The sequence below is a fragment of the Homo sapiens genome, chromosome 14, assembly GCF_000001405.40.
Source record: "Homo sapiens chromosome 14, GRCh38.p14 Primary Assembly".
Taxonomy (NCBI): Eukaryota; Metazoa; Chordata; class Mammalia; order Primates; family Hominidae; genus Homo; species Homo sapiens.
This window is the reverse complement of record NC_000014.9, coordinates 87026537-87035028: the sequence shown is the minus strand read 5'-3', so window position 1 is coordinate 87035028 and position 8492 is coordinate 87026537. Positions and strand designations below refer to the sequence as shown.

The 8492-nt window shown below is 38.6% G+C and overlaps 1 long non-coding RNA gene across 1 annotated transcript; it reads left to right on the top strand.

Annotated features, from left to right (window-relative positions):
* The first annotated feature begins 888 nt into the window (after nt 1-888).
* On the top strand, nt 889-1658 carry LOC105370608 (uncharacterized). The gene is made up of 2 exons (XR_001750934.2): nt 889-967; nt 1334-1658. It is a non-coding gene; the product is annotated as an uncharacterized LOC105370608 (long non-coding RNA).
* The last annotated feature ends 6834 nt before the right edge of the window (nt 1659-8492 follow it).

The following is an 8492-nucleotide window of genomic DNA, read 5'->3' as shown; positions in this document are numbered from 1 at the left end:
TGTTTTAAATGGAAAGTTTGACAATTCAGATGAACAAAAGAACCATTCCGTGGAGCACCCTGGCTTTGAACACATCTTCATTTCCATATGAGGTAGATCACACTGGGACTGCAGGCATCCTTTCATGCAAAGTGTCTGATATTACATGTATATAATTAGTGTAGACACAGCATTAAGTACTTTGGCAGTTTATAGCTTGTTTCAGTCTCATCTTTCATTTCCTTAATCAGGGAAGATAGTTACCTCAACCAAAACAGATTGAAAGAGACATCAAACAGATGTCACTTAACTCCTATAGAAGAACACAGGATTGGAGAAACATTACATAGATGTTATAATTCAACAGCTGAACACCAGGCAAAAATTCAGCTCTTAGAGTGCTAAGATTTCATTTTGCAAAGAAAGAGGGCTGCCAGGACCAAGGAGGGAGGAACAGTGGCTCTCATTTTGAACTAGGATAAACACTTCTTGGTGAGACCAATGTACTACCTTCATAATTTTCATGTGTTTAAATCATGTTGCTATGTTTTACAGGGGAATTTTGTTAAATTGAAAACAACACAGTGGTCCTCCCTTACTTACAGTCTGCTTTCTAAGGTTTCTGTTATCTGCATTCAGTGGAGATCCAGAAGTATTACATCACTACTCTTGTGTTTTGGGGCCATTATTAAGTAAAACAAGCACCATGGTACTGTAAAAGTTTATCTGATCACCAAGATCGCTGAGAGACTAAGGACAATCCAGGCAGGATGGAGCAGGACGGCATGAGATTTCATCATGCTGCTCAGAATGGCACACTTTCTAAACTGAGGAGTTGTTTGTTTTTGACATTTCTCACTTTCCTCACAATGCTTACATCATTCACCTCACTTTGTCTCCTCATATAGGCATTGTATCATCTCACATCATCAAAAGAAGAAGGCTGAGTACAGTGTAACCCATTTTGAGAGAACCACATTCACATAAGGTTTATTTCAGTATATCATTACAATTGTTCTATTTTATGATTATTGTTGCTAATCTCCTACTTTGCCTAATTTATAAATTAAACTTAATCATTGGTATGTGTGTATAGGAAAAAAATATGGTATTACATAGAGTTTGGTATTATAGTATCCGAGGTTTCAGGTATCCACTGGGAATCTTGGAATGTATTCCCTGTGGATAAAAGCGAACTACTGTAACCAATAGCTTGGCTTCAAAATGCATTTTGAAATTTTTCTTTTTCCTTTCTTACTTTTAGCCTTGGAACACAGTTTAAAGCTTCGTTTCCCTACCTTTCCAACAGACACTCCCTTGCACTGCTGGCTTATCTAATTATGTGTTTGCTTAGAAATTCCAGGGACTAATATTGAGATGAACCAGGCATGGAGACCAAGCTGCAAAATTCCAGAAATGACCTCCAGGTTGTTAGTCTACAACCCAGCCATCGTCAAGATAACATTAGACTGCGTTCCAGGTGGACCATGACTCAAGATAGCCACCAGACCAAGGCACGGACACCTAGCACCCAGCACCACTCCTGCATGCCTCCCACTCTAAGTTCCCCTTTATAAACACCTCTCCACAGTCGAAAGTTTGAAATCGTCTTTTAAGGGCATGAGCTTGGCCATTCCCAGATCTTGGCATTTGAATAAAGTAGCTCTCTGTTCATCACACCCCGCTTCTCGTGTTTTCAGCCTCTGAGTGGAGCAGCCAGACTTGCGTGTGGTGACGCTACTGTATGGCTACATCAAACAGAAATAGAGACCAAAGAAGAGAATGAGGAGAGTAAAGTTAGCAGAAGTGGAAAAATAAAAGATAGCTCTGGGGCCGGGCGCGGTGGCTCACGCCTGTAATCCCAGCACTTTGGGAGGCTGAGGCGGGGGGATCACGAGGTCAGGAGATCGAGACCATCCTGGCTAATACGGTGAAACCTCGTCTCTACTAAAAATACAAAAAAATTAGCCAGGCGCAATGGAAGGCGCCTGTAGTCCCAGCCACTCGGGAGGCTGAGGCAGGAGAATGGCGTGAATCCCGGAGGCGGAGCTTGCAGTGAGCCGAGATCGCATCACTGCACTCCAGCCTGAGCGACAGAGCGAGACTCCGTCTCAAAAAAAAAAAAAAAAAGAAAAAAAAGGAAAAGAAAAGACAGCTCTGGAAATCACAGAGCAAGGTATGAATAACCAGAGTTTTGGGAGAAGAGTGGCAGCCTTCATAAAACCAATTCCATATTTACTTGGATGTAATTTGAGGAACAAAAAGAGCCATACAAAATATTCTCATTTTGTGTCACTCTGACAAGTAAAAATAAGAAACCAAATACACATACAGTGTGTACCACAGATTATAGTCTTATGTCCTTACAAAAACTTTTAAGAATTAAAGAAGTGATGATTCTCATTTTCCTAATTGTAACAACAGAAAGACTGAGGTCTAACAAGTAACTTTCTCTACGGAAGCTATGAACCAATACAAACCAGAGCCAAGCACTCCAAATCCTGCATTCTTTTCACATCTTATACCAAGTTGCCTGCTGGTGTTCTGATGCCCAAGCCTGTCCTTCTTTCTCCTCTTAGATGAATCACATTCAATCACAGTGTAAACAGTGTAGAACAATATTTTGGCAATCTGCTATAGAAACCATAATCAGAGAAAATATTAATAACCCTGGCAGGGACCGAGTATATTTGTACGCTCCACCTATAACCTGAGAAAAACACTATCTCCTTTCCATGAATATTGCACGCTTTGTGAGGCAGCACATCAACAATATATCACCTTTACTGTCAACTTCACAGTAAAATGTGATGGCATATTATAAATGGTGCGAGACACTAGTTGGGGAGCCAGAGGATGGCTTTCTTAGGTACTAGACAAAGGTCTAATGGATGGTCGTTTTCCAGAATTGTATAGCTTTGTTTCACTTTGCATAAATATTGATTACACAGTATACATGTGCTCCTACTGATTAGATGGACTGGGTCTCAGAAATTTTCTATAGACTAGGGAAATGCTTTTTGAAGTGAGTTTTACTTGCTTCTTTATTACCTAATAAGAAATCCCTTCTACCTTCAAAATGTCCAATAAAATTATTGCCAAAACTCAAAATTTGGAAGCGCTTTTCTTTTCTTTTTTTTTTTTTTCTTTTTTTTGAGATGGAGTCTCGCTCTGTCACCAGGCTGGAGTGCAGTGGCGCAATCTCGGTTCACTGCAACCTCTACCTCCTGGGTTCAAGTGATTCTCTTGCCTCAGCCTCCTGAGTAGTGGGGACTACAGGTATGCGCCACCGCGCCTAGCTAATTTTTGTACTTTTAGTAGATACGGGGTTTCACCATGTTGGCCAGGATGGTCTTGATCTCTTAACCTCATGATAAACCTGCATCAGCCTCCTAAAATGCTGGGATTACAGGCTTGAGCCACCGTACCCAGCCGGAAGGGCTCTTCTTAATCCTATCTTCTTACTAACATGACATAATCAGATTCTAATATACTATGTATCAGGAACTATTTTCATTTCCATTTCATATTTAGAAACCCAAGCCACTGATGAGTTGTAGTTGGTTTTGCTGGATATATGTTCCTAATATTTTCACAGCAACTGCATGTCAAAAACGACAGAGTACGCTTATAGTTGACTAACTGGAGGGCTTTTTTGGCATAATAATTGCTATATCTATTTATGTTAAGAATTTTAAAACCCTAAGAAGCAAATATTGCAATTATTAAATATTATCTCCCCTTCTGCAAGAAAATTCTTTTCCTTAATCGATTTTCTTAAGGTTTTGGTAATAATATCTCTATCCTCTCTCATTCACACAATAGCTTCCTTCCAATCTTCATGAAATTACCTGTAATTTATGTATCACTCGGGAGCACTGCAACCCACATTATCCATGGTTCTAATCTCACATTGAAAATCGAAATATTGTGTGATAAAATTAGAAAGAATATGAAATAACTTAAGTCTTTTAACTCAAGTGCAACTCTTCGCTTTGAACTTAGTGAAAGGATTCTCTTTGTTTTGGCTTTGGAGATGACTCATTTTGCAGAAAAAGAAAAAAAAAAAAGCCCAACATTGTCTCGCCTACTGCCCATAACTCACCTTAATCCTTAGTTCGTAAATCAGGGTTTTCGCCTTTCTCAGCTTCTGAAAACAAATCCAAACCTTCATAAATGCATTTTCTATTGATCCGGTGGTTATGAAAACCTTTACATTTTCACTAGGGTCTACCATTCATGCCTATCTCCCAAGATAAATTACAGTTTCAAACTGAGATGAGCTAAACTGGTTCAAACACATTTTGAAATGGGATCTCCCTCCATGGAAAACAGTTTGGCTTTGAAGGGAAGATCAGTCTTGAAAAAAAGTTCTATATTTTCCCAAGATCACCAAGTAAGATTTTGCCACGTTCATTTTCTTAGATGTACTTGGTTAGGATAGAAAAAATGTCAATCTGTTAAAATTGGAGTGAGCTCACAGAAAGTCAAAAGTTCACAGGATGAGGCAAGAGCAGGAGAAGAGTTTTGCCTGGCAAGAGCAAAGTGATGGCATTGCTGAGTGACAAACTGCCTGATTAGAAGAGACTGGGGAAAGGACAGGTGAAAGGGTTTTGGATTTAAGTTGAGCAACAACAGGCAAGACAGGAACTGTCATTTCTTTATGTGAGAAATGATGTCATGAAGAGTCATGCCCTGAAGTTTTGTACCAGAAGCTAGTGAAAGATGGGTTGGGATTGGGATAGTGACTGATTCTTGTACGGCTATTGAGTTCTGGGTTGAGAATAAAACAGAAAGCAGTGGTAGCAGGATCATGTAAAGCACAATTTGATTCATCTGCTATGTCTCTTTTTGATAGAAAAAAAAAAGCAAATAGTAACACTGACCTTCAGCCATCAGCCATTTCCTTAAAGTTGCATATTTAATTACATAACACAGTGGTTAAGAACATAGGTTCTGAATCAGATTGCCTGGCTTTAAATTCTGGCCCCAGCATTTACCACATTATCACTTTGAGCAATTTTGTTGACATTTACCTGTCTTAGTCTCCTTTCTGTAAAATGTACCTACCTCATTATTAGGATAATGTATTAGTCTGTTTTCACACTGCTATAAGAACTGCCCAAGATTGGGTAATTTGTAAGGGAAAGAGGTTTAATTGACTCACAGTTCAGCATGGCAGGGGATCCCTAGGAAACTTACAACCACAGTGGAAGGCAAAGAGGAAGCAAGGCACCTTCCTCACATGGCACTAGGAAGGAGAAAAGCGCAAGAGAGAGCAGGGAAAACTACCTTATAAAACCACCAGATTTTGGGAGAACTCACTCCCTATCACGAGAACAGGATGGGGGAAACTTTCCCTGTGATTCAAATACCTCCACCTGGTCTCTCCCTTGCCACATAGGGATTACGGGGATTATAATTCAAGTTGAGATTTTGGGTGGGGACACAGCCAAACCATAGCAGAGCACTAACATGACTTAACCCATGTGAAGTATATAACATGGTGTCTAGCACCTAGGAACTATTTTTTAAGTATTAACAATTATCATTATCTTAAAATTCATGTGAAATTTTCATTTACTTGATTATATAACCCTATTTGCTTTGATATAACAATAAATATGTAAATTATTTACTACTCAATGAAACTGTTCAGGAAATAGCCTGATGTTTACAATGTGGCTTTCTTTATGTATCTCTGTCATGACCCAGCCATCCTTGGTGGCTTTGTATTCCAGTGTTAGGAGCACAAGAGTATGCAAGAATGCTAGTCTCTTACTTTTGTCTGCTGGGACTGTTGGAAAAAGAAGCCTAAGAACTCCATTCATTTGAGGGGGGAGTTCCTTGAGGATCATTCACTAGCTTGGTCATTTTTATGCACTTGTCAAGTAAGAACCCACTCTCAACTTGCCAGGTGAGTTGGAATTAGACCCCACCAGCTAAAATTTGTGTCCAGCAATAGAAATGGATCTGTAATTAAACCCTTTCTTTGAGGTACCTCTGGGCCATGAACAAAATAAAATCATCCCCATAACATTTTCAGGGTCATTCTTTATCCTACAAAAGGAAAATATCAAGCATCTGAAGGATGAATATGAAAGTCAAAGAATTTTCTTCCCCGCCCCCACCCGCCACGGACTCTCAAAGGAAGTAAAACTTACTCAAAGAACTCTATGACAGAAGGAATAGTGACTGTCTTGCACTGGATGTATCTCCGGTACCCAACAGAGTCCCTGACACACATTAGGTGTTCACAATACAATTTGTTGAATGAATGATTGCATAAACACATTCTTGGCTTGGCAGAATACATTAGGAAGCTGAGATTAGTTTTATTGTCAATAGATAATTTGAAGGAAGACAACATAAGAAATAGCACAGGCAGGGCGTGGTGGCTCATGCCTGTAATCCCGGCACTTTGGGAGGCCCAGGCGGGCAGATAATGAGATCAGGAGATTAAGACCATCCTGGCTAACATGGTGAAATCCCCTCTCTACTAAAAACACAAAAAATTAGCCAGGTGTGGCGGCACGCGCCTGTAGTTCCTGCTACTCGGGAGGCTGAGGCAGGAGAATCGCTTGAACCCAGGAGGCGGAGGTTGCGGTAAGCTGGGATCATGCCACTGCACTCCAGCCTGGGCTACAGAGTGAGATTCCATCTCAAAATAAAAAAAAAAAAAAAAAAGAGAGAGAGAGAAATAGACAGCATGAGTTAAAAACAGTATATTAGATGTATTTCGAGTCACTTATCGAGTATGGTTCAGGATATGACCAACTGTGAAGAATTCACATTGACTGTATTTATGCCTGAGGCGGCAGTATATGGTCTGAAGAGCTTTCTGTAAATGAAATCTCATGTTTTTCCACACGGTGGAAGGATATATGCCAAGAGTTTTGTAAAGTACCCAAATTTGCTTGTTTCCTACTCTAACATAAACCATATCAACAGAGAATCTGAAAAGTTCATTGAGGACAGGCCAAGTCTCCCCTCTGACTATGACCTGCCCTCTGCCAAAGATTGGAAATGCACATTGTAACAGAAACTCTGTCGAAATTAAAACCTTTTGGAGAATATGCTTACGAAAATTACATTGGGTATTAATGACAAAACTAGAATCAAACAATAGGATATTTTAAATTGGAGCAGCAAAACTATTCTCACACACACACACAGAATTCTGAAATGGTATTTTTTTGGGGGGTTGCATTGCCCTGTTCTGTAAATTTTAACTGTTATTAGAAGTAAAATGAATTCTTTCAGCTAAAAGTTATCTATTGAAGCAATCTATGTAGGAAATACCAAGCCATCTAATCAACTATCATTTTGTCAAGTTCCTGACCATCTTTTAATTTACACTCATTATTATCACTGGTGTAACCTAAACTTTCAAATTCTGGGTTTTTTAATAGGCAAAAGCTATGTCTCTCTTAACTTCTTTCTATTCACCTATGGCCTTTGGGAGATAATCTACATCTTTGCATGTAAATGTGCTACAAGTGACAAAATAACAATCTAAAATAAAATGTGTCAACAATTTGAGACTCATAAATCCTTTCTAAACATAAAAATTTAATGTTTTGAACTTTAAAAACAATTTGTCTTTTCATAGCTAAAACCATTTGAAACTATTGAAAATAGTCTGAACAGTTAAATTACATAGAAGGAGATTCAGACATTAAATATTCTCTTTATTTTTCATTTTTTGTCTTTAATAAAAGACAAAAGCTACCTTCGAAAATTTACACAAAAGTAAATTCCTCAAGCCTAACCATTCAGCAAGATTTCCTTTAGCCAGAGACAGGAAGTGTTTTGAAATGTCCCATCATGATGATAGATTTGTTTACTTAATTTAATACATTCAATAGATTTTGTTTCATACAAATGAGGCTACTTTATTAAATATAAATGTTTTATCTTCTTGGTAAACTTTTCTCAGTTACTGTTATGTCAAGTAGACAGATCTGTAAAGACACAGAGATTTGAACAACACAACTAATAGGCAGAGTCAAATGAACCCATATATTTTTCTTTCAATTCTTCAAAGAAAAATTAGAATAGACATTCTTTTCAACCATTATGGTAGATTTTACTATTGTCCTCATCTTTAAAAGTATTATTATTCCCATTTGTGTCATGCCTCCAGGTACATTGATTATATGCCCCTGCCCCAATGTCACACTTGGTCAAATGACTTGCTTTGTCCAAGAGAATGTGAACAATCCAGGCACCAATAAATAACTATAATTCGCTTATGTGGTTTAGTTTGGCCTTAGGAGTTTCAGCTGTTTATCATGAGGACAGCATGTCCCAGATAGATGCTGATCCTTCACCATAGGGTGAATGGGAAAAAATGGGGATCTCACCTGAGCGCAGCTGAGTTGAACACAACTGGAGCTGATGCTCAGCCTTTCTACCGTGAGTTAAATAAAAGTTTTGTTGTTGCAAACCATGAAAAATTGGATATTTGTTTTTATAGTAAAAGATGACTGATACAAGCATGTGGTGTTAGG